The sequence below is a fragment of the Homo sapiens genome, chromosome 8, assembly GCF_000001405.40.
Source record: "Homo sapiens chromosome 8, GRCh38.p14 Primary Assembly".
NCBI lineage: Eukaryota > Metazoa > Chordata > Mammalia > Primates > Hominidae > Homo > Homo sapiens.
In genome coordinates this window covers 95009941-95036653 of record NC_000008.11, presented here as the reverse complement: position 1 = coordinate 95036653, position 26713 = coordinate 95009941, and the positions used below count along the sequence as shown (strand labels likewise).

General features: G+C 41.5%; 1 protein-coding gene across 26 annotated transcripts in view, besides 4 other annotated features; it reads right to left on the bottom strand.

Moving 5' to 3' along the window:
- Positions 1–26713, bottom strand: part of NDUFAF6 (NADH:ubiquinone oxidoreductase complex assembly factor 6) — a 222698-nt gene that overhangs the window by 81843 nt on the left and 114142 nt on the right. For 4 of the 26 annotated variants that reach the window (NR_148913.2, NR_148911.2, NM_001354531.2 and 1 more), the window contains exons 1-3: positions 11449–11665; positions 4560–4659; positions 1078–1200 (exon numbers count right to left, since the gene is read on the bottom strand). Coding sequence is in view for 10 of the 26 variants with exons in the window: in NM_152416.4 (NP_689629.2) it covers positions 1078–1200; positions 4560–4659; positions 11449–11645 (420 nt within the window). In the remaining 16 variants the exon portion in view is untranslated. Of the gene's footprint in view, positions 1–159; positions 353–1077; positions 1201–1930; positions 2033–2531; positions 2647–4555; positions 4660–11448; positions 11666–26713 lie in introns of those variants that run through there. The other 22 variants (NR_148910.2, NM_001354527.2, NM_001354518.2 and 19 more) reach the window with 14 other exon arrangements.
- Positions 11374–11743: a silencer, noted in NCBI's record as "silent region_19378". NCBI's record gives its function as "represses an Ori minimal core promoter by ATAC-STARR-seq in GM12878 lymphoblastoid cells {active_cell/tissue: GM12878}" and the evidence as "EXISTENCE:reporter gene assay evidence [ECO:0000049][PMID:35858748]".
- Positions 11374–11793: a biological region, named in NCBI's record as "Sharpr-MPRA regulatory region 2014".
- Positions 11499–11793: an enhancer, noted in NCBI's record as "tiled region #2014; HepG2 Activating DNase matched - State 1:Tss, and K562 Activating non-DNase unmatched - State 1:Tss". NCBI's record gives its function as "activates a minimal TATA promoter and a strong SV40 promoter by Sharpr-MPRA in HepG2 and K562 cells {active_cell/tissue: HepG2 | K562}" and the evidence as "EXISTENCE:reporter gene assay evidence [ECO:0000049][PMID:27701403]".
- Positions 11760–12606: an enhancer, noted in NCBI's record as "H3K27ac-H3K4me1 hESC enhancer chr8:96036276-96037122 (GRCh37/hg19 assembly coordinates)". NCBI's record gives its function as "activates a minimal SCP1, AML or CMV promoter by ChIP-STARR-seq in naive H9 embryonic stem cells {active_cell/tissue: H9 hESC(naive)}" and the evidence as "EXISTENCE:reporter gene assay evidence [ECO:0000049][PMID:30033119]".

Genomic DNA, 26713 nt, shown 5'->3' with positions numbered 1-26713 from the left:
AGTCTTAACATAAACCTCCACCTCCACTATACTCCGATTTAGGTGTAAAGTAATAAATAGAAAGGGTTTCTGGATTTTAGGAAAACTTTTTAGTGAGTCACCTAGGTTGAGCTTCTTGAAGTGGGATGAACAGAGGTAAAGAACTAATCTAATACTCACAGCTTCCCATCCACTTTTTCTTCTCAATCCCCAGTTGGGGGGTTCTGGCTTTCCATCTTTACTGGGGCTCTGTGAAGTCAATCTGGGGCCCAGAAACTGGGCCTGCCTCTGCTGGTGTGCAGACCTGAGAAGAGGTGTACCACTGTCAGGTCTGTGGGTGGCTCCTGTTACAGAAACCCTCTTTTGGCAATCACTGCATTACAACAGGGACACAGATCAGTGATGAAAGGTATCTAATTCCCTTCCTCCTCTCATAGTTTAGAATATTTCTAAGCCATGTGTGGCTGCTTATGAGTGAGGGATCCATACAGCTGCTTTACTATAAAACCATTTATGGTATATATCTAGCTATACAAATAATACTCTAGCCCATAGGTTTCCATTCTCTAACACCTAAAACTCAACAATGGATAGATAATTCTATCAAACTAGACAAGGCAGTTTTAGATTTGTATCTGGACAACACTGAGAGCAAGTCTCCCATCACAAAAGATTAATACATGTTCTACAGCCCAGAACCTGGATTAAAACACTGGTATGCCCAAAACCTGGATTAAAACACTGGTATAAGGAGCTGCTGCTAGGCAGAGAGAACAGAACATTTTACTTGCTATTATATCAAAATGTGTAGGATTTAAATTCTGCAGGCAAATATGGAAATGTGGAAAATACAAGTTATTATGTAGAGACTAATTCTTCCTTTTTCCTTTAATAAACAAATATACAAAAGATGTGTGTAAATTATCAGTGGGTGATTTTAAATTTCTGTGCCAAAACTATAACAGCTCTGAATACATAAGCCTAAGAATATTTTCAGAATAGATTCCACTATAATCACCAGTACCCAAATTATATCCATCAAAAAGTAGACTCGAATAATATTCATACAAATTAAAAGTGGTATTTTTTTTTTTTTACCTTCCATAGTTCAATGGCCACAGGCTGATGTGGTGGATTGTCACAGTATATATCTTCCACAGTTTTTTTCCAAAACTGCATTCGCATCAGTCCAATTGTTTTCTCAGAGACTGAGTCTTTAACCTATAAACAGGGTTTAAAAACTTTAGCAAATGCATTGTCTACTGTCTAAAAAATCAGTATCTTTGAGGGAATTTTTTGAGTTAATGTAACTGTTCTGTATTATGACTATGGTGATAAATACATGACTACATTTTTTGGAACCTATAGAACACAACAAAGAGAGAATTTTACTGCATGTACTTTTAAATAAATTCATTCATTCATTCTTTAAGTAATTTTTAAAAAGAAGATTATTAGATTGTCTCCCTCACTCACTACTAAGAATGGCCTTCTGGTCAGGCACGGTGACTCACATCTGTAAACCTTAAACTTTGGGAGGCCAAGGAGGGTGGATCACCTGAGGTCAGGAGTTCAAGACCAGCCTGGCTAACATGATGAAACCCCGTCTCTACTAAAAATACAAAAAATTAGCCGGGTGTGGTGGTGGGTGCCTGTAATCCCAGCTACTCAGGAGACTGAGGCAGGAGAATCGCTTAAACCTGAGAGGCAGAGGTTGCAGTGAGCCAAGATCACACCACCACACTCTAGCCTGGGCGACAAGAGCGAAACTCCATCTAAAAAAAAAAAAAATGGCCTTCTTAGGTTCAGGCAAGAATCACCAACACAAGCTAAATCTAGGAGGTAAATTTTGATGAGGAACATGGTCTTAAAAGGTCTCCTCACAGGCTGCTTATTAGTAGCAAGGGAAAAAGTATTAACATCTTGACTCAGTGACTAAAATTAACATTACTGCTGGGAGTCAGACGGATATTTCATGCCTCCTTCTGACTCTGAAGAGGACACAGACCACTTAGGTAATATTACGCTAGGAATCCATAAGTTTAATATAAACCTGATGAAAAATAAAATAAACCCCAAATGAGAAACATTTTAATTCTTAAAAGGAATAGTATTGCTTAAAATATGTCAATGTCACAAAACGCAAAGAAAGGCTATGGAAATGTTCCAGAATAAAGGAGGCTAAAGAGACAGAAAACTAAATGTAATACATGATCCTAGATTAGATCCCATACAGAAGGGGGAAAAAATGCCATAAAAGACCTTACTGGGTCATTTGAGAAAACTGGAAACCAGATGGTAGATCAAATAAAAGTACTGCATCAATGTTAAGTTTATTTTTTTGTAAGTGTACTGTGGTTATGTAAGAGATTATCCTTATTCTTATGAGACACACAATCAAGTTTATAGCGATAAGGGTCATGATATAGTCAAGTTACTCTAAAATGATTCATAAAAAGAGAAATGTGTATATATACATATGTAGACAGAATAACGCAAATGGGACAAAATATTAACAACAGGGTCATGAGTATTGTTTGTACTACTCTTACTTTTCCATATGTGAAGTTACTTCCAAATATCCTGGTGGTGGGTGGGTTTCTTAGCAATGTTTAGTGTTCAGATCCCAGTGGCATACAGTACAGCAAGACAGCAGCAAGAGTAATCCTTTCAAAATATAACCAAGAGGTGATGTCTCTCTGCTCAGAACCCTCCAGTGGCTGCCTATCTCACTCAGCCAAAGTGATTTCAATGGTGTCTCCAAGACCTTACCTTTCTGACCCAGGTGCCCCTAACTGAATCTCCTCCCATGCGCCCCTCCCTGCTCTGCTGGACCACCTGCCTTCTTCTGTTCTTTAAGCAGGCACAATTGCACCTTAGAGACTGCACTCGCTGTTCCTTCTGCCTAGAATACTCTTTGCCCACATATCTGTACAGCTCACTCCCTCACCTCCTTCAGATCTCTGCTCCAATGCCACCTTCTCCGTGAGGTTTCTCCTAACCATCCTACATAAAATAGGAACCCCTGGTGTACCCAGCCTTCGAAGCCTCCTTATCCTGCTTTATTTCTCTCCATAGCACTAGTCTCCATCTGATACATTACACAATGATTTATTTGTTCATTGAGTGCAGACCCTGTTTTATGTCACGTGGGTATAGCATTGAATACAGACTATGTAAAGTCTCTGCATTCAATCAACACTTGTTGAATGAGTGAATAAACAAGGCTCCATGTGCAAAGCAGCAGCAAGATGTACAAAGTGTACAAAGAAGTACAAAGTGACAGAATTCAGAAGGAACTCTGGGGGTTTATTAAAAATAAAATTGTATTGACTGGGTGCAGTGGCTTATGCCTGTAATCCCAGCACTTTAGGGGCTGAGGCAGGAGAACCATTTGAGGCCAGGAATTTGAGACCAGCCTGGGCAACATAGCAAGACTCTGTCTCTAAAAAAAAAATTGTTTTTAATTAGCCAGGCATAGTGGCACATGTACAGTTCCAGCTACTTGGGAGGCTGAGGTGGGAGGATTGCTTTAAAGCCCAGGAGTTCAAGGTTACAATAAGCTGTGATCATGCCACTGCACTCCAGCCTGGGTGACCTGTCTGTAAAATTAAAAATTAAAAAATTAAATTTTAATCATTTAAAAATGATAATAAAGACCAAGGTGGGAACTATTTATGGCTAAACTGTGACTGATTTAACATGCTTATGTACAGTTTACACTTGAAAAAGGATGAGGTGAAAAATCATAACCCATGACTTCCAGGAAGATACCAGAGGAAAAAACAGCCAGTCTATTAGACTCTCTACAGACTCACAGTTGTGAATCTCAGTTGTGCCTCGGTGCCATATTCATATCCTTTTATTTGTTCCTTGTTCACTTCCTACCATATTCCCTGAGAATCTGTGTCAAAATTTGCTACTCTCTTCAAGACTCTGAATCCTCTCCTGCTCCCTCACTCCCAATATCTGACCTCTCAATTTATTACTGAGAAGACTAAGGCTGTTCCAGTTTTCACTCTCTCATCTCCATCCACCATTCCAATTTATTTTGTATTTGTACATATTCTTTCCATTCTAAAGAAGAAAAAAGAGGATCTCTCCTTCCTTTGGAATTCTTAGACAAAAGTGAATTAGTATGATCTAAGGTCCTGGTTTGCTACAATTGCTTTCATTCCCTACTGATATTAAAGCTAAAACCTCAATTTAAAAAATGCTTTGAAAAACTGCTATATACATGTAAATTATGCAATTGTTGGAAAGAATAAGCAGTAATTCTCTGACTAACCTATTTAATTAGCAGACAAATGTGCAATGTTAATGGCACAGTTTTATAATATCCTCGGGAAGAGAAATAAAAAATTCCAGAATGGCATTTCTAGAACCATTAAGTTCATTAGATAGTTTTATTTTTGGTATTGAATTACTAAGCCTAAACAGTTAGCAGGGAAAAGAAATCACTAGCAGAGACCTTAAACACATCTAACATATAAATTACAACTATATTTCTTTATTGTTCAGCATTAAACACCTTATATCACCATTTCGCAAATAATATTTTAAGGTATCTTAATACCAGCCTGAGCCAGTTCCACATTAAAGGCCCTCAGTGCAAAAACAGAGCTTCGGGATTCTGCAGGGAGCAGCAGGGAGCATAAATAACCTTCATAATCCCGTTTCCTGTAACAGACAGAAAAAAAAGACAGTTACTCTTCACTTTCCAAGCTGCACAAAAAAATACTGACTAAAATTAACTGAAAACAAAAAGGCTTCAAGTTGGGCGCGGTAGCTCATGCCTGTAATCCCAGCACTTTGGGAGGCCAAGGCGGGCGGATCACCTGAAGCCAGGAGTTCGAGACCAGCCTGGCCAACATGGTGAAACCTCGTCTCTACTAAAAATACAAAAATTAGTCGGGCATGGTGGCATGTGCCTCTAATCCCAGCTACTTGAGTGGCTGAGGCCCGAGAACTGCTTTAAGCCCAGGAGGTGGAGGTCACAGTGAGCCCAGATTGCGCCACTGCACTCCAGCCTGGGTGACAGAGCAAGACTCTATCTCAAAAAAACAATAACAACGTGAGGCTTCAGTTCAGAAAAGGCCTGACATGTCTTATTTTTTATAACCGTTCCTTAAAAGTTATGAAAAATGTACCCCAATGCCACCTAATCTCTATCAATTTACTATGACTTATGTAGTACTTATAATTTTAACTGTTTCAGAATCACTTTTGTTTTAGTAAGAATTCAAATGAGCTTCAAAAGAATAAATCAAGTTAAAATAGTTCAAGCAAATATTGGGGTGAATGTATGGTTTTTAAGACATATAGACAGATATACAGAAAGGCAGAGATAAGACATAGAAATTCATGTAGGACTGTGTGCACACATACGTTTCCTTGCAGCACCTGCTGAAAGAGCCTAGAAGTAATAATGCCCCCAGCCCCCACCCCACATTCCCGGTATTGGTGAACACACCTAGCACCCAGATCTTGGTTTCTGAAACCATTCTCCACTGAAAGAAACTAGGGCTCTGATATCTGGATATTTGTCTCCTCCAAATCTCATGTTGAAATGTGACCCCCACAATGTTGGAGGTGGGGCCTAGTGGGAGGTATTTGGGTCACAGGGGTGGATCCCTCATGAATGGTTTGGTGCCATCCCCTTGGGGATAAGTGAGTGTATTAGTTCACGCTACAGCTGGTTGCTTAAAAGAGCCTGGCACCTCCTCCCTTCTCTCTTTTGCTTCCTCTCTTGCCATGTGATACACCTGCTCCCCTTCGTCTTCTGCCACAAGTAAAAGCTTCCTGAGGCCTTGCCAGAAGCTGAGCAGATACTGGTGCCATGCTTCTTGCACAGCCTGCAGAACCATGAGTCAAAGAAACCTCTTTTCTTTACAAATTACCAAGTCTCAGATATTCCTTTATAACAATGCAAAACAGACTAACACAGGCTCCTGGAAGGAATAACTGACTCCATTCCTAGGGCAGGGAAAATACAAGATAAGTCTGAAACATTTTCTTGAGCAAAAAGTAAAGAAATGTTTAAAGGATGGAGGAAACTTCTCAAAAGAACACAGAAACTGGCTTGACAGAGTTCTCACTGGCCAAGTCCACAGCAATTTCAGGATCAAAAAATAATGACAGGGCCCAGCATGGTGGCTCATGCCTATAATCTAGCACTGTGGGAGGCAGAGCAGGGAGGATGGCTTGAGGTCAGGAGTTCAAGACCAGCCTGGACAACACAGTGAGACACTGTCTTTACAAAAAACTTAAAAAATAAAAAAATTAGCTGGGCATGGTGGCATGGGCCTGTGGTCCTAGCTACTTAGGAAGCTGAGGTGGGAGGATTACTTGAGCCCAGGAGTTCAAGGTTACAGTGAGCTATGATCATGCCACTGCACTCTAGTCTGGGTAACAGGAGATCCTGTCTCTAAAATAAATAAATAAATAAATAAATAAATAATAGTAACAATTTGAAACAGGACTCTATGAGCTTGTACCAATAAAAATTAATAAATAGGAAGAGAAGGAAAAGCTTGACAACCAATACAATGCCTACTACTAAATTTAGAAGACATGATGGAATTTTTAAAAATCACCATTTGATAACTATCATAGTATTAACTGATTCAGATAAAAATCATCAATAAATGCCTGAAAATGTTAAAGGGGTAAAAGTTTGATGGAAAAAGAATACTTACATAGTACTGAAGTATCTCCCCACGAAGTAAGTATGCACTTCTTGCTTATAATTAACATTCTTAATTAAATTTACAAAAAAAAAATCTGGAAGTCACCTTTTCAACCACGTAGTAAGAGGTTAACATCATAATAATAGGACAAATCAATGTCATGTGCTGCCTGATATGATATGGAGAGAAAAGCTGAGTGTCCCTTCTGTGATATTCCTGCCAAAAATGCATGTCAAGAGAAAATATTAAAAACCCAAATCAAAGGAGATTTCTACAAAGTAACTGGCCTATTCTCTTCAAAAAATATCAAGCTCATGAAAGATAAGATGTGAGGAATTGTTCCAGATTGGAGAAGACTAGAGAGATATAACTACATGTAGCACATGATTTTGGATGTATGAAAGACATAATAAGATAATCAGCAAAATTTGAATGGGGCCTGTGGATTAAATGGTAATACTGGATCAATTTTAATTTCCTGATTTTGATGGCTGTACTGTGATTCTACGGGAAAGCGTCCTTGTACTTACAATATACAGACCAAAGTATTAAGGGCAGTTAATGAAGTATCATGTCTGCATCTTATCCTTAAATGTTTCAGAGTGTTAAAAAATGAGGGAATCTGCTAAAGAGTATATTGGCTCTCTGTGTACTATTTCTGTAATTTTTATGTAAATTTACAATTACTTGAAAATAAAATGTTATGAACATATAGACCTTACCATATTCACTCCAGGAAAGATGACTTAAGTATAAGGTACTTACCTACTTTAATACATTGGAACCTTCTTATAAAACAATATTTAATATGAGTCTAACCTGGGCCTCATCCCATAGAGTTTAGGTACTAAAATTCAGATTTCTCCCACTTTTCAACTGGTTCACACTTTGTCATGTTCCTAACAGAGAACTTAAACTGCTTCTAGCCATTCCCTTGACAGTCTCCTCCAATTGCCACATAAACCAAAAGAAGAGGTCACAAACAGTAACCTTGCTATCTCAAGAGTACTGCTAAAAAGATCTCACCCTAAGCAGTTTCACCTTTGGGGAACAAAATGGTTCCCCAAAAGTTTCTAAGGACAGCGAAGGCAAAGCAGCTCTATAGTTGACATTTTTTAAATTGTATTTTGCCATAAAAAGTCTCCAAACTTCAGAAGTGTTTAAAACACTTGAAGTTAACATGAAACAGTGAGAAAAACACTGAATGGGAATCAAACTACAATCTTAACTTCCATCACCGAACTGGTTATTAATAGAAATGACACCAATCACTCCTGTCTATTTCCCAATTTGCAAATGAAGCTTAATAACCTACCAAGGTTATCTTCTAAAAAAAAGCAGTATGTGAAGTACTTCAAGCTTCTTAGAGGGAAATGAAAAATGAAATGAAGACATAATAGAACTGTAGTAACATTTGGAAAATAAAGTCTTCCACACAGCCAAGGATCTGCCGTATTAAATATATTTTTAAATTTTGGATGGAAATTTTTCTAAACAATATTACCCCCTTCACCACATTAAACATGATATACTGATTATTTAGCCATTTCTTCATCACTTAGGATCATCGTTATAAATGTGAATTATTGAACTATGGATATACAAGAATGTCCTAAGCATCTAACCAAGATCCAGTTACCTGAGATTATCCAGTCCCAGATAATGAGAAATGCCATATTACGGATGTATATATAACAGCTTTATATGGCAATAGGGCAAATAACCTCTCATTCATTCTAACATCTATGCAGTGCCTACTATGTGCCAGGCACTGTTCCAGACACTGAAGATGGGTACTGACTTCGATTGAGTTGAGAGAGACAGACATATAAGAAACAAGCACACGGGGTATTAGGATTGTTGTGTGTTAGTACCATGGACCTGTGCCACTGAGGCACAAAGGAAGTGATTCCCTGGTGAGATTGCAGCAAAGTAAAGAACATTAGTGCACTCCAACACCACCAGTAGTACCTCCTCACCTTCTCACTACAGCCTGAGGCTCTGTGTTTATCCTCCTCAAAGCCAAAGTCGGAGAAGCCTATGTAAATTAGGTTTGAGATTTTCCCAAAAACCTAAATTGCTAGGAGAGCCGAGGATGGTGAACCCGAAGTTATGGCCTGCTATTTTTCCTGCTATTTAGAGGCCTTGCATAAAATGCACGTCCAAAACAACCCTGCATAATTTCAGAGGCCAAATCTTGCAGAGATTATTGATGGACAATTAGAAGCCAGAAATTCTATTTCAAGTTTATTTTTATTTTTTAAACTTATATTTGTCATGTGTCTGAACTCTGCTAAGCATTTTTTACTATATCATCACATTTAATCCTCACAACACCAGGCTATAAGGTAAGAGTAAACATTTACAAATGAGGAAAAAACCGAATCTTTTTTTTTTTTTTTTTTTGAGACAGGGTCTCATTTTGTCACCCAGGCTGGAGTGCAGTGGCAAGATCTTGGCTCACTGCAGCCTCAACCTCCCATGTTCAAGTGATCCTCCTCTCTCAGCCTCCAGAGTAGCTGGGACTACAGGTGCTTACCACCATGCCCAGCTAATTTTATTTATTTTTTGTAGAGAAGGGGTCCCACTATGTTGCCCAGGCTGGTCTGGAACTCTTAGGCTCAAGCAATCCTCCCTCCTCAGCCTCCCAAAGTGCTAAGGTTACAGGTGTGAGCCATGGTGCCCAGCCAACATGGAATCTTAAAGAAACCTTCCCAAGTGATAGAGCTGGGATTAATACTCTCAAATCAGGTCTGCCTGCAAAATTCAGCATTTGAAATAAGTCACTAGAGTCAAGAGCCCCCATTCCACACAAATAACATGGACAGTTTAAGTAACTGACCATTTGTAAATACAGTATATATACTTGAGAAAAACTAGCATGTGACTGAAGTAAAAAATAACTAATAATGTACTTAAATATTTTTGTTTGTTTGTTTTGAAACAGGGTCTTGCTCTGTTGCCCCAGCTGGAGTGCAATGGAGCAAACTCGGCTCATAGCAGCCTCAGCCTCCTGGAGTGAAGTGATCCTCCCGCCTCAGCCTCGCAGTAGCTGGGACCACAGGCTGTGCCACCAAGCCCAGCTAATTTTTTTATTTTTTGTAGCAACAGCATCCCGCTATGTTGCCCAGGCTGGTCTCAAACTCCTGGCATCAAGCAACCCTTCTGCCTAGGCTTCCCAAAATGCTGAGATTACAGGTGTAAGCCATTCCTCCAGCCTTAAATATTTGTAAATCCACAGACTATCCCTGGAAAAATAGATAAGAAATTTTTAAAAGTGATTATCTCTGCAAAGTTATGACACTAGCGGCTATTGGGTGGTATACTCTGGCAACTTAAAGTTTTTATCATCAAAATATAACAACTTAAATATATAAAAATAATGCAATCTTTTCACAATTTTGGCTTTTACAATTTTTTTTGGCTTTTACAATTCTTAATGCCTGATTTCCATTACTGCTATCTTGTTTCTCTTACAAGTAATCAACAAATAAGGTAGGAAATAAATAATTTTTGTTTTTGTTGTTTTTGAGACTGTCGCCCAGGCTAGAGTGCAGTGGAGCGATCTTGGTTCACTGCAACCTCCACCTCCCAGGCTGAAGCGATCCTCCCACGTCAGCCTCTGGAGCAGCCGGGACCACAAGCGCGGGACACAACGCCCAACTAATTTTTTATTTTTTTGTAGGGATGGGGTTTCGCCATGTTGGCCAGACTGGTCTCAGACACCTGGGCTCAAACAACCCACCGGTCTCAGCCTCCTAAAGTGCGGAGATTACAGGCGTGTAGCCACCGCGGCCGGCCCACAATTTTTAAAAGGGATTATAAACAAAACACTGAAATGCATGCATTTTGTTGTGTTATGCTGCTTTTCTCTAAAATGGAATTAAAAAAAAAACGGTTTTACTTGCATGATCAACTTCAAGGTAGTTTAGTCATTCAAGTACTTTTGGTAAGTCCTTGAGACCAAGTACTTCAAGACCTTACCCCAGTCTTTCAAATGAGACATAGCAGAAGGGCAGAGGGGCTAAGCCACTGGTCTCAGCAGTCAGGCCTGGATTCCCAGGGGTCCCTGCCGCATGAACCAGGTGACCTGATTGATCCAACCCACCTCCACAAATGATTAAGGAGCGACACCCAAGTGCCAGGCCTTCCCAGCACTACGCCCGACAAACAAAACACTTCAGGGCTCTGACTTTATGAGGCTATTCTTGTGAACCTGTGGCAAATTCTCTAATCACTATAAAACCCAGTTTCCTTGTCTGTTAAATGAGATAATAATGACTTCCACTCACTGTGCCCTTACTATATGCCAGGAATTGTTCTAAATGCTTTATAACTCACAACCTTAAATGATAGGTCTACATTTGTCCGTCGCAACTTGTAATGAAGACTAATTACTCGTAATCTGCTTTGCATAATGCCAGGCACACAGAAAGAACTCAAAGTTGGCTACCGTTGTGGTTAAAACTAATAGACGTTCTGTGAATAACAAAGGTTATTCATGCAAAAACGCTGAATTCGGCTAAAATTAAGGTTCAGATAAGGCGACAAGCGTGGGCAGTCGAAGGAATTTTGCCATAATTTTGTGACCCATGTGAATGTTCCTGTGGGCCCGCTGCCTCCGCACACCCGCACCCGACGCCCACTAGAACGCACACCCAGAGGGGCACGAGGAAGGCGCCGGTCCGCTCGCTCAAACGTCAGGCCAGACGCGAGGCGCAGCCGCTCCCACCCCGGGACCCCGCTTCCCGCCGCGCCAGGGAAGGTCGTGCTCGCTCACCGCAGCAGCTCCAGGCAGTAGTGGTCAGTGCCCCAGGCGCCCGGTCCGCTGGCCGCAGCCACGCTCCGCCCAGACACCTCCGGCCCGGGCAGCCGCCGCATGCGCGCGTACAGACCCAGAGGCGGCCGGCGGCAGCACAGGCCGGGGATGCCAAGCCGCAACGGCCCCCAGACAGAGCCGTGCGCGGAGGCCGCCATGACGCCGGCACTGCGTGCCCTTCGACCCCCCGCCGTCGGCGCGCAGCTACGCCCCGGCCACGCCCCTGCAGGTTCCCCTATGCTCCTTTGAGTCGCGGGAAGGCAGCCTCTGGACGCCGCTCAAAGAAGAGCCAGGTGTCGCTGTGGTCCTCTGCATCTGGGCCGCCGCCGCGACTCTTTGGCCTTCGTTCCAGGAAAGACCCGCCCAAGTCCGTCCGACCCCTCCTGGGCTCTTCCCCTTCCCCCACGTGCATCCACAGGCGACCTCAGAGCACCTACAAGAAGTGATGGGTGCTGCTGGTGAAGGAAGTAGCTGCCAAAATCACGCCCCGCCGCCCCTATACCCCAAATCCACCATGAGAACAGAACACCTTGCACTGTTTCTCAACAGGGGCTGCCTTGGCACTTTGGGCGCAATAGCGCTGTCCCGCACGTTGCTGGAAGTTTGCAATAGGTGAATGCCCAGTCTTGGTGACCACCAAACGCCCACACACCACCAAAGGCCTCTGGAAATGTCGCCCTGTTTGGGAACCACTGGCCACCTAACACCTCCAGCAGAAAAGCACACACATCTCTCAGAGAAGCCACACAGTAGGCCATTATCAACCACTACCTATAGCTAACCTGCTTGCTGACTTTTTTCTCCCAGTATCCTCTGGGTTCCATACGGGCAGTGCCATTATTTTGTTTCCTGCTTTACCCCAATGGCTGTCACTTGAAAATTGTAGAAGCTGAAGTGCCTCAGTTCACATAAATAGTAAGTAGTCGGGTAAGATCCAAACATTCAAAATATCTGTGTTATTCCACAATCTTATTTGGACAGGGAAAGGAAGTGAAGACGGCCATAGGCCAGAGCCTGCTTGTCTGGGCCTCCAAGGTCCAGCATGGAACTCCAAGGAGTCAAAATTTTCAATGTAAACCTGACCTTTCAGGTCCTTAGGAAGATGTATTTATCAAGGCAGGAAGACAGAGCTTTTAACAGTTTACTAACTTGATTTATAACTTTTTTTTTTTTTTTTGAGACAGAGTCTCACTCTGTTGCCAGGCTGGAGTGCTGTGGCTTGATCTTGGCTCACTGCAACCTCCGCCTCCCGGGTTCAAGCGATTCTCCCGCCTCAGCCTCCCGAGTAGCTGGGACTACAGGTGCACGCCACCACGTCCAGCTAATTTTTGTCTTTTTAGTAGAGATGAGGTTTCACCATGTTGGCCAGGATGGTCTCGATCTGACCTCATGATCCGCCCACCTCAGTCTCCCATAGTGCTGGGATTAACTTTGAATATTTGTTCACATGGTATGTTGGCTTCCTTTGGTACTCTTACTTTCAGGGCCCTCAAATATTAGAGGTGGGTCTAGCTGCTACCAACTAGCTGATCCCAGCCAGCAGCTGCCTACACTTGAATCCCTCTTGCCTCCAGATTTGCCTAGACTTTTCTTGCTATGGCCAGACTGGTTCTTTCTAAAATGTCCATCTGATCATGGCGTTTCCCTACTTGACAGCATTTACTGTGTGTTATATGCAGTCCGTCCATGATGTGGCCTCAATTTACCTTTCTGCCTCAACTCTGGCCACTTGCCTTTGTGACTCCAAGTTAATGTTTTTGTTTAAACCCAAGGTAAAGCACCTTGTCCTCTGGCCCTAAGAACTCTAACCAATTCATGCAACTTTGGTTTTTACTCTCTGAAATTACCTTTCTTCATCCTGTGTAGTAGCAGAACCCCGGTGGTGGGTGTTACCCTTTCATCACCAGTGACTGGTCCAGGACAGTGCATATTTCCCTGATCTGGCCAATTAGACTTGAGAACAAGTCCACTGTGGTGCTTCTGGGAAAGTTGCTTCACTAATAAAAGGAAACATAAAATTCAATATACTACATATGAAATATTCTTGGCAAAAAGGCTTAACATAAAGTTAATTAAGCTTCTAAATCTAATTTTAAAGTTTATAAGAAAAAGACAAGAAACAAGATAAATCGACACCACAGGGAAACAAATCAGAAAAATTCGAAAGAAAAACCCAATGTCACTCCTGCGATTAGGTTATAAAAGGTCTGCACCTTCCATATTTCATCTTGGGTGCTCTCTCTCTCTCTCTCATCACTTACTCTGTGGGAAGCTAGCTGCCATGACACGTGAGGGGGATTAGTCCTTTGTCTGTAATATAGATCATTATTATTTTCCTCAGTTAGGTTTTAGTTTTGTCTTTGCTTGTGGAATCTTTGCCATGCAGAAATTTTGCAATATATTTTTATCTAGTCAAATTTACAATATTTACTTTTATGGCTTCTGGATTTTGCAGTCTTTAAAAAGGCCTTCCCCATTTTAAATGTGTTAAAAGAATCCCTTGCTTTCTTCTAGTCCTTCTGGTTTCTCTCGTACTACTTGTAGATTTCACTTTTTTACATTTCTTTTTTTTTTTTTTGGAGGGGTAAAGATTAGGAAGGTATGAATCTAACTTTTTTCTTTATATCTAGTAGTTGTCTTACTATCATTTATTCAGTAGTCCACCTTTTCCTCCTTTGATTTGAGATGCTTCCTTTTTCACAGAATAAACTCATGCATATACTTTGTGTCTATAGTGTTCCATTTGTCTATTAATGTTCTAGTAGTAAACTCTTTTAACTATTGCGTCTTTAAAATATGTTTTCATAGATATCTAGTAGGGCTAGTCCTTCTTCATTACTCTTTTTCTCTTCCCCGGTCTTCCTGGCCATTCTTGTTTATTTTCCCATTTGGCTTTTAGGATCAGCCATTCGATTAAAATAATTCTGAAGGTATTTTCATTACAGCTATGTTAAATTTATACCTAATGTATGGAAAACTGGTATTTTTATTATATTGAACCTTCATAAACATTTTTAATTACAGCATTATAGTTCATCTTATCAACAGATATAACACATTAACTATGCCCTTATTCAATCCTTATATTTTCCACAATTAAATACTTTTTAGATGAACCACTACTAAAAAGGAAAAACAATTTTTCTATACTTATGCAACCCTTCTGACACTACATGTATAGATCTTCCACACCAAGCATTTTCAGGACTACACAGTTAGGACAGAATCCACAGGTTCAGAGTTCAGTCTCACAAGGCTGCCCCCTACTTTGGACACCAGTAGCAATTAGTGAGTCCTTAGGTTACCCATGCTTTTGTTTGACTTGGCTACAAATCAAGGATTTTCAGGACCTTCCTCCTCAGGTTTGATAATTTGCTATGATGGCTCCCAGATATCAGGGAAACACTTATATATATTTACTGGTTTATTATAAAGGATATAGATAAAGGTCAAAGAACAAATATAACACATTTATAACAAAAGATGCTGTCCCTTAATGGTCCAGAGAACATGTTTCTGACTTCCTGCCAAAAGGACACATACTGAGTTTTTTTCTTAGAATGACAGTGACTTGTGAGGAGCTGTTCTATGCACATACTGCCTCCTGATTCGTCTAGCAACCAGTAGCACGTGCCAAGAAGGGAAAAGGCTCACAGAGTTGGAAATATAGTCTGTTGCCTTGGGATAGTGTTTCTGGACAAAACATTCTTCTAGGGAAATAAGAAATTTCATCCTAGCTGATCCACAATTCTATTGCATAACTGAAGGTCACACCTGGTGCTAAGTTAAATGTTTGTCACTAAAGAGATTTCCATTTGGCAAACAAAATATTGTGGGATTATGCTGTTCCCTCTTTCTGGATTGTCCTTGTGTGCTGTATCTTCAAGGAGGCCATTTGGTGATAATCCCAAATCCCCAGCCTTTAACCAGCCACCTACGGCCTCTACAGACTCCCAAGAGAGCTACACAGAGGACAGTCCTGGCAAATGGGCAATGTTTATTACACTGTTTTTACAAACCCCACTGCTAAGCTTGTCTGGATCACTTCAAAGGCAAAAAGACATGTAGAAAGACAAACCCAACAAAAATGGTGTGATTCAAGACCTAAATCAAAGTAAGCCGCAACCCAAGGCTTTCCTGAGATTTGGGGTTATAGGAGGAGAGCTCTAAGTTTGTCCTTGTCACCACAAAAGTTCTAATGCCCTTTTTCCCTTTCATGAACCTCTACTCATCCCCCAAACACCTAATTAAACACCTCTTCCTTCCTGAATTTTCCTTGACCATAACCCCATCCAAGAAAAAAAGAGTTGTTCCCCCAGTTTTGATCCTATAACAATTTGTGTTCATGTTTGATCACTTTGCCAGGTCTTACTGTGGTGATCTGCTTATATGGCCCTCTTCCCAGACTGCCAAAGGTAGATGTTTTCTTACTCCTCTTTTTATCTCCAGTGCCTGGCCAAGTGCCTGGCATTGGGAGGTGTTAGTGTATCGTTCTGAAGGCCAAGTTTTTTGGCACCGGAAATAAGACACCAGGTTATGCAGTGTGTGCACTGCACAAACATGCCTGGCTAAGGGAGCAAGAGGGGCTGGTGTGGGCTGGTGTGGCATTGTCTCTGCTCAGAGGAAGGGTAGCCTTTCTCTTCACACAGAGAGGCATGTGCCTGCAGGGCTGCCTCAGCCCAGATGGGGACCTTCTCATTTATAACAAGGCACCATACAGGCTTGCAGTCTTAGTGACTGAAAGAGCAAATCAGACTCAGCAAGTTTAAGAAGGGCAGAATATGAAGAAAATACAAAGTTGAAAGGAATATTTCCCCTTGTGAAGGGTTTCCACTATTCGTTTAATAGTCAAGCCTTACAGTTATCTGATTTTAAGGAACCTATTATCAGCAGCTATGAAAAAGAGGAACTTGAATGCATCATGCTTTTTGGGTAGTTTACTTATCCTCAATTACCTTTGTTTTTTTGAGACAAAGTTTCACTCTTGTCGCCCAGGCTGGAGTGCAATGGTGCGATCTCCGCTCACTGCAACTTCCACCTCCCGGGTTCAAGCAATTATCCTGCCTCAGCCTCCCAAGTAGCTGGGATTACAGGCACCCACCACCACACCCAGCTAATTTTTGTATTTTTAGTAGAGACAGGGTTTCACCATGTTGGCCAGACTGGTCTCAAACTCCTGACCTCAGGCGATCTGCCTGCCTCGGCCTCCCAAAGTGCTGGGATTACAGGCATGAGCCTTCATGCCTGGCCCTCAATTACCATTTTTTTAAAAAATATAGAATTGTACAATTTTAGATTTGAAAGAAAGTCATCTATCAATTCAATAGTTTTTGAGCATTTAGTACTGGTTATACACGTAGTATGGAAGGGGCACTAGAAACTAACAAAATTAGCCAATGTCAAATACCTATTAGGTGGCATATTTTTCATTTGCTAAAAGGACACCTACACACTGTTCTCTCAGAAACAAGAAGAGGCAAAGTGGTCACTATGTTATGCAATTGCAGTTTTATTCATTTCACTCTTTGGTTTCCACTATGATCTTATATTGCCAATTTTTCAATACCAAAGCTGTCATTTCTTTAGGTTTTTTTTCTCTTATCTTTTCACACCTACCAAAAATGGACCATCAGCCATTCTGGGGCATACCTGCGAAATGTTCCATAGATTTAATGCATACAAAATCACATGTAGGAAGAGGAAGATTGATGATGACCCCTACATAAGACACAGACAAGACTTGTCATAGTTGTCACATGGGTATGGTGGGTTGTCTCTGCACAAGTTGTTTCTAATTACAATAAAGAACTAAAGTTTGAAAATACTATTGTTTGCTTTGTGTATATATTAGAGATGAGGCGGGGTGCAGTGGCTCACGCCTGTAATCCCAGCACTTTGGGAGGCCAAGGCAGGCAGATCACTTGAGGCCAGGAGTTTGAGACAGCCTGGCCAACATGGCAAAACCCTGTCTCTACTAAAAATACAAAAATTAACTGGGCATGGTGGCGCAAACCTGTAGTCCCAGCTACTTGGGAGGCTGAGGCAGGAGAACCGCTTGAAGCTGAGAGGTGGAGGTTGCAGTGAGCCAAGATCATGCCATCGCACTCCAGCCAGGGTCTAGAGCGAGACTCTGTCTCAAAATAAATAAGTAAATATATATATGAGATGACTCCAAGTTATCCTGATGATAATGTCATTTTCAACATGGGAGAGAAATGGGTGGAGTTACAGCTATGTACCAGAAACCACAAATACCTTGCCTATGCCATAGCCCCTAAGTCAAGTACCCAGGGAATATAGCATATCTGTGATCATCACCCCATCACCCATTGTGTGTATTGTAGGGGGAAGTGGTTAGGAGCCTAAAGGCTTATGATGTCATTTCTTCTTCTTTCTTCATCTTGTCCTGTTCCTTCTCTTTCTCATTTCTCTTTTGGCACCTGAATTGGTTGCTGTCCACTAATGTACCAAGATCAGTTCAATCAGTTCAATACAATTTGTGTTTAATGGGCATCTTTATGCCTGTGTTTTTATCCCAATGTCTGGGTTGCACACCCCCTCTTCCCACCCCCACCTGTCTTCTCAGATGTTTTCTTGTCTGTCCCCACAAAACAGATTGGGAGCACCTTGAGGAAAGGGAACAAGACAAGCTTATTTGTATTTATCCCCTGGCTTTATAGTCTAGTGAGTAGTTGCTCAAACATTTTTCTGACATGAAAGTTAATGGATGAATGAATGAATGAATGAATGAATGAATAGGAGGTAATGGGAGGTAAAAAGAAACCCTCACTGTATTGGTGATATTTTATTTATTTAAAAATTCTAAAGCAGGCCAGGTGTGGTAGCTCACACCTGTAATCACCGCACTTGGGGAGGCCAAGGCAGGAGGATTGCTTGAACCCAGGAGTTCAAGACCAGCCTGGGCAACATAGGGAGACCCCATCTCTACAAAAAAAAAAAATAGCCAAGCATGGTGGTGCCCACCTGTGGTCCCAGCTACTCAAAGGCTGAGTTGGAGGGATTTTTCAAGCCCTGGAGGTTGACACAGCAATGAGCCACGATCACTGCACCCAGCCTGGGTGAAAGAACGACACCCTGTCTCAGAAAAAAAAATATTCTGAAGCAAACATGTCAAATTATTAAAATTTTCTAAATCAGGATGGCAGACATATGAATATACATTATCTTATTCTCCATATTCTTCATGTTTGGAAACTTCTGTAATACTGAAAAACCAAGATGAGCAGTGGAGGTGATAGCAGTATGACAAAATGTCTTTCTTCAAAGGATGTCATCATTTAATTAGGGACTTGTTCCAAGTGCACATGATTGCAGAAGTCTGTTGGATTGTTCATTTTTAGGAGGTGACTGGCTAGATGTTAAAACAAAAAAAACCCACAGTAAATAACTCTGAAACTAGAAAAGCAGGAGTTGACACTACCTATCCAATTTGTAGGGTATCCTAGGAATCAGCAGATAAACACTTTTGTTATTTTCTAATACATACCCAGCCTCTATGAACTATGAAATATTATCAGGAAAAACTGGATAGAAGTAGACAACCAGCTACTGGCTAGCTAAACACCTAAGGGTTGGTAGAAAGTCTGTGGAAATTTATGGCAAAATACATTTGCCTCTCTAGGTCAGATCTACTCTTCCTCTTCATCCTACTTTCTACCTGGAGGGCTGACCTGTATGGACCACATGGATAGATGCTCATGACTTCTGGCTTCTAGTTGGGTTCATATAGAATCAAAGAGAGGGAGGGAGAGATGAAGGAAAGGAAAGTCAGGTTGCTTAATCCCCTTGTTCCCTTCCTGTAAGGTTGTCTCCATGACTCTACATGACTCCACATGCCTCTGTATGACCCCTCACTTCAGTCTCCTCATCCCTTTGTGCCTACAGCTCATTAAGAAGCACCAGATGGGCGGGGCGTGGTGGCTCATGCCTGTAGTCCCAGCATTTTGGGAGGTCAAGGCAGGCAGATCAGCTGAGCTGAGGAGTTTGAGGCCAGCCTGGAAACATGGTGAAACCCCATGTCCCCAAAAAAAAAAAAAAAAAAAAAAATTAGCTGGGCATGGCAGTGTACACCTGTGGTCCTACCTACTCGGGAGGCTGAGGCAACAGAATCACTTGAGCCCAGAAGTTGAGGCCGCAGTGAGCCATGATTGTGCTGCTGCACTCCAGCCTGGGCAACAGAGCAAGACCCTGTCTCAAAAAAAAAAAAAAAAAAAAGAGGAGGAGGAGGAAGAAGAGAAGGAAGAGGAGGAGGAGGCACCAGATGCCTGCACACATAGACCTATGAAAATAGTCCCTTTGTATATAAAGCACCCCAAATTATTTTCTTCTGTCTCCTGTTGGGACTCTGATTGATTAAGGACTTGGACCATGATGTTCAAGTTTTGTTTTTTGCTTTTTGTTTTTTTGAGATGGAGTCTCTCTCTGTCGCCAGGCTGGAGTGCAATGGCGCAATCTCAGCTCACTGCAACCTCCACCTGCCGGGTTCAAGTGATTTTCCTGCCTCAGCCTCCCAAGTAGCTGGGACTACAGGCACACGCCACCAGGCCCAGCTAATTTTTGTATTTTTAGTAGAGACAGGGTTTCACCATGTTGCCAGGATGGTCTCGATCTCTTGACCTCATGATCCGCCCACCTCAGCCTCCCAAAGTGCTGGGATTACAGGCGTGAGCCACCACGCTCGGCCAGATGTTCACGTTTTAACTGCTCACCAGTAGTTAGAACCCAGGTCTCCATCCTTCACTTAGCAGACGCCAGAAGAGAACTTCCAAGAATTAACTTTAAATGTGAAATTCCTATCTACACTTGGTGTCTCCAGCTCTTTCTAACTCATTTCATCCTCTTTTTCATACCATGCAGTTATAAAAACAGAAATGTTAAAAGATTGCAAAACAATTGAAGACATATTGTCAACATGAAATAATTATATAATCATCCTTTAATAAATTCTACCTTTTGAACACTTTTATCACTTTGTGATCTTCATATATTAATACATTAATATATGTAAGGCACAATCGGAGGGGAGAAGCTAAACATTCAGTCTACCAGGTAATGATGAAAAGAGGATGTGTATGATTTAGTTCATTTGAAATATTATGAACATCAATAAACAATGGAAATGGTAAGCATCCGGGATAACAGTGGGCCTGGCCAGGAATGTCTGGTGATATCTTAAGCTCTTTAAAGCCTTTGCGTATGTCATTTCCTCTGCCTGGGATATTCTTCCTCTCTTTCTCATTCTTGATCTGGCTAATTTCTATTTATCCCTTAGCACTCTTCTTAAATGTCACAACCTCAGGTAAGTCCCTGGTCCCAGTCTAAATCAGCTCCCCACTTCTTGCTAATTTCTCTAATAGAACACAGTTCTTTTCCTTCTTGGTACTTATCACTATATAAAAGTATGTATTGTATGTTCATTGCTAAGTGTCCATCTCACTCTTGAGGAAGGGAACCAAGTTTGTTTGGTTCTTCTACTATATTTGCAATTTCCAACACAGTGCCTATCAATATGAATAGTTATCAAATAAGTGAATGCTCAAAGTTCTTAGAAGGAAGAACCATTGCATTTATGAATTATAACTCCATTTATACTATTGCTGTCAAAGGTGAATTATCTGCTTGTCCTAAGTTTAAAAGTGTACCGCAGTTAGGACTATTAGGTATTGTTCCCTGGGTAAATTAAAACAAATGTATTTATGTATCTACTGTAGATTAGAATTTTATGTCATATTTTGTTCCATGAAGCCAGAAGCCCAGCCAAGACCTTGTCATAAATAGTCTTTTCTTAAAAAAGTCCTTTCTTAAAATTACAAATGACTAACTTTGTAATTAGATACAGTAGGGGATGCCTGCTGTTTGGGCTGCCCAGCTTCCTTTCCTCCTTATTTAGGTTATAGAACCAAGAACCACTCTGTATGGCCTCTCAGGTTGTACACTGCACAACTCCAGGAGGTCCCAAACAGATGGACTACAAGATGGATTCGAGTCTGGAGCTGTGCAACACCACCCTGACAGAACTCTTTCTTTTGGTAAATGCTCATCCATCCAGACAGTCCAACCTGTGGGTCCGCTCTCTTTCCACTGTAGTAGACATGATCCAGGCCAGCCAATTAGAGTACTATCTCTAGAAATTATCATTGATTACTGCAGGTGTTGACACATGACCTGAGGAAGCCAAACAGCACTTTCAGGGGGGATTATATAGATGGTAGAGAAGAGAGAACATTGCCTGATATTTCCAACACTGGCAAGCATGCAACTCTAGAACTGGTAGGGGTTCTTTTGCTGCAATACTGTAAGAGCCTGCCTGCAAATGAAGTCAACAGAGAAAAAGCAGAGCTGAAAGAGGAATAAAAGGAGACAGATTTTTGACAATATGGGTTGATCCCCAAATCCTAGCTGTGCCTAAAGTATTCATAGACTGGTTGTTGGTTATGTGAGCTAGTAAATTATTTCCCTTGCTTAGGAGAGTTTGAGTTGGATCTTTTCACTTGCAACCCAAGAGTCCTGGCTAACACAGATGCATAAACAAAACCATAAACCAGGAACTTGGAACTTAGTTTCTGCTTAACCAAAAACTGAATTCTCTACTTGTGACAATGGGGATGTCACTTCTCTGCTCACAACCTTGCAATACCTTCTCATCTTACCCAGAGAAAAGGCCAGCTGTCCACACATGGCCACAGGTCACAACATGGTCTAGCCTGTCTCCTCCCTTTCCCCCCAACTTTGTTCATTATACATCAGGTACCCTGACTTGGTGTTCCTTACACATGCCAAGCATTCTCCCACCAGAGGACCTTCACATGTGCTGTTCCCTCTACTATTATATGTGACTCACAGTGAACTGTTTGACACAATTCAGTTATCTGTTCACATGTCAACATTCCTCACACTCCCCGCCCCATCTAAAATCTTCCTTTCCCTCTCTGTATTAGTTGCCTAGGGCTACCATAATAAAGCACCACAAATTGGGGTGTCTTGAACACCAGAAAATTGTTGTCTCACAGTTCTGGTAGCGAGAAGTCTGAGATCAGGGTGTCAGCTGAGTTGTTTTGTTCAGCAGGCTACAAGGAAGAATCTGTGCTGTGCCTCTCTGCTAGCTTCTGGTGGTTTGCTGACAGTCTTCAGTGTTCCTTGGCTCATAGAAGCATTGCCCTGATCTCTGCCTTTTTCTTTACATGGCATTCTCCCTGTGTGCATGTCTGTGCCCAGATTTCCCCATTGTATAAGGACACTAGTCATCTGAGATTAGGGTCTACCCTAGTGATCTCATTTTGACCTGATCAAAGAACCTCTTTCCAAATAATATCACATTTCCAGTACTGGGGGTTAGGATTTGGGGGAGGGGGAACACAATTCACCTTGTAACCCTCCACTTATGCTGCCCTATTTTTTTCTTTGCAGTATATATCACCATCTGACATATTATATACTTATGTTTTTACTGGCTTAATGTCACTCTCCCCCATAACTAGGATGTAAGTTCCACGAACATATGGATGTCATGTTATACCCACGGCACTTAAAACAGTGCCTAGTATATCGAGGTATGCAATCAATATCTGTTAAGTGAGTGAATACTAAACAGGGAAATAGGCTGTCTGATTTTAAGATACTAAAATTTGAAACTTCTTTTTGCATAATCAACTATTTGAAGAAAGCAAGACTTCTCAGATGTCATTTATGTATATATTTAGAGTTTAAAGGCTCAGTGGAGATCAATGCAAAATCTCTATCAGTGTGGGAGCAGTAGCTCACACCTGCAATCCCAGAACTTTGGGAGGCCATGGTGGGAGGATCCTTTGAGGCTAGGAGTTTAAGACTAGTCTGGACAGCATAGCAAGACCCCTGTCTCTACAAAAAATAATTTAAAAACATTAGCCAGGTGTGGTGGTGTACACCTGTACTTCCTAGCTACTCAAGAGGCTGAAATGGGGGGGATTGAGCCCAGGAGTTTGAGGCTGCAGTGAGCTATGATTGTGCCACTGCACTATAGTTTGGGTTGGAGAGCAAGACCATGTCTCTAGAAAAAAAAAAGGAGAAGAAGAAAAAGAAACCATATCTCTATCACAAACTTACAAGTACCATTCCTTTGAAAATAGAAGAGTAGAAAGAAACATTCTGAGGAAGAATGGAATTTGGGAGTAGTAGGTTGATAAGGGACGGGATAGAAGTTGAATGAGGTTGAAAGAGGTCAAACTCTGGCAAAACTAAAAGTACTGATCTTTTCCCTGACTTAATAATGAAAGTATGCCAGTAACCATCTATGGAGTTACATAGTTTTTATTACCCATTAAAAGGGGTTTTTGCTGTTTTTTTTGAGACAGAGTCTTACTCTGTCACCCAGGCTGGAATGCAGTGGCGCGATCATAACTTATTGCAGCCTCTACCTCTCATGCTCAAGCGATCTTCCCACCTCCCAAGTAGCTGGGACCACAGGCATGTGCCACCATACCTGGCTAATTTTTATTTGTTTATTTATTTATTTATTTATTTATTTTAGAGACAGAGTCTTGCTGTTGCCCAGGCTGGTCTCAAACTTCTGTCCTCAAGAGAGCCACCTGCCTAGGCCTCCCAAAGTGCTGGGATTACAGGCATGAGCCACTGTAACCAGCCTAAAGGTACTTTTAATGAGAAAACAAATTTAGCCTTCAAATATTAGAAATGCCCCATCTGACATTTATTGAGATGTATTAGCTGTGTGTAGCTTTATCAGGTTATCTGTCTTTCCTCTGATGCTTTCACTGGAATATGAGCTGAGGGGCAGGGGACTGTGTCTTTACTAGCCTATAGATAGTCAAAAGACAAATGGTAAATTAAATGAGCATAAACACGCAGAAAAGAGTTAAGAGCCCTTACTTACATAAGGGTTTTACAAAGCAGTAAGAAGACAAAAGATCCAGTGTATCAAAGGAAGTACAGATGCTATATAAGCATATAAAACAGTGCTCAATCTTGCCAGTAGACAGGGAAATGCAAATTAAAATAAAAACAAAATTGAATTTTTACCCATCTGCAGTTGAAAAGATTGATGATTTTCAGGCCAGTGATGTGCAGTTAATCAGAAACTCATACTTTTGAGGATGAGTCAGTATGTGGAACTCTATGTTGAAATTCAAAATACACTTACCCTTTGACCTGAAAATTCCACATTTAGGAACCTATCCTATGGAAAAGACAGTCTTCATAATGATGCATATCCATAAGGCTCCAGAATTTCAGTACAGGAAAGAGATAGGCATGCCCATTTGGTTTTAAACAAATACTCAGAAGTATAAGATACTTACTAGACTTTTGAGTTTGTAGAGTAAAATTTCTTCTTTGTACATAATTAATTATTAATTAAACATCCCAATCAACACTTATCAAATGTCAACTAGAGGCAAGGGGTGGTGTCTGAATCCCTGAAATTCTGTTTTAGGAGTTAAGGCATGAATATTGAATAAAGTAACTCTTTAGCTTCTATACCATTCCCACCCTAAACCCAAATCTGATCTATGTAAAACTTTAAGCCCCAAAAGTGAGCTTAGAAGGTGAAAGGTCAAAAGAGTGTACACCAGGAGGGCACCAGCTGCATCTAGGGCAGTAACATTCTCATATTCAGCTCCCAAATGTCACTCTCCGTTCTTACCATGCCCAGTTATTTCCCTCTGGAATAAGAAGTGGAAAGTGCCACTTAAAGCAAGAATTTCCCACAACCATTTTATCAGATTAAGGGAGTGACATGTTCATATCCAGGGAAAATACTCTTTGAAGATGACTCTGTCCACTAGGAAAGAAGAATTATTTTGATTGTGCTGAACTGCTCTGCGTAACAAAGTGAGAGGAACCTAGACTTGTCTCTTTGGGAAAGGGACAAGATGAGGGGCAGGGAAATGGATAAGATTTGAAGTTTTTTGAGAATGAAAGGTGGCGTCTCCTCCAGAAATGTAGTAAAAGTGTGGCTAGCACGTGTCACTGAAGGCCCTGGTGCTTCTCTGATGCTCCCACGACACATGGAGCCCAGCTGGAAGCAGCGTGGCTGGTGACAGCCTCCCGTTTACAGCTCCCTAAGGACTAGCATCAGCTTTGCAGCCAAGATCCCACTCTTTCCAGGGCGGCCCGCAGCAGTGATGGAGGCAGGCGGTAGACAAGGGCATAGACATTTCCGCCGCACAGAAGACTCCTTTAATGTACTATCTGTGCTCACGGCTCCCCTGGCTTTGCCAGAGTCTTCATCAAGTCTGATTGGGTCTGCTGGCTCCTTCTGCCCAAGCCTGCTTCCTTCCCCTTTGTCTTGACGGCCTTTACTCCCCACAAAACCTTTCCCACACCTACCGTTTCTCAGCATCTGCTTCCCAGAGAGCCCAACCAGCACCACTAGAGACCTCTCATTTGAAACTGCTAAACTTTAACACTAGTAGGATTTTTTTTTAAAGAGTCTGAAAGGAACTATTTCTCATATTCAAGTGTGGGAATTAAAACTGAATAGCTGCCAGTTGTTCTCTGAGGCATAGTCACTACTTGACTTAGTTGATGACTGACTTTGTCTTAGTGAACAATCACAAATTCTCTCAGGAACACAATCCTTTTCTTTTTTGCTCTTAAAGAGAAAGAAAGGGGGGAAACCCTATAAATATTGCTACAGTACTTTCTAACTTTTGTGAACAATAGATTCCAATTTTAAAATTAGAAAGGATCTTGACATTTATTCTGATTAAAGCCCTTCACTTTGCATAACAGCATATGTCCATAGAGCCCTTGAAAATTGTGGTCTAGGCCAGGTGCAGTGGCTCACACCTGTAATCCCAGCACTTTGGGAGGCCGAGGCCTCCTCCACTTGAGGTCAGGAGTTCGAGACCAGGCTGGCCAACATAGCAAAACCCCATCTCTAGTAAAAATACAAAAATTAGCTGGGCATGGCAGCACACGCCTGTACTCCCAGCTACTGGTGAGGCTGAGGCAGGAGAATTGCTTGAACTCGGGAGGTGGAGGTTACAGTGAGCCGAGATGGAGCCACTGCACTCCAGCCCCAGTGACAGAGTGAAACTCCATCTCAAAAAAAAAAGTACAACTAAGCTTTTTGTGTTTGTTTTCAGAAAAGCAGCATCCCTCACATAGGGGCCACTTGGCACTTGACCTTCCCAAACTCTGTGCTGGGGAATTTTGCAATCACATTAATTTGATACAGTGTACTTGGGGGAGGGCATTCTGTATTTTGCTA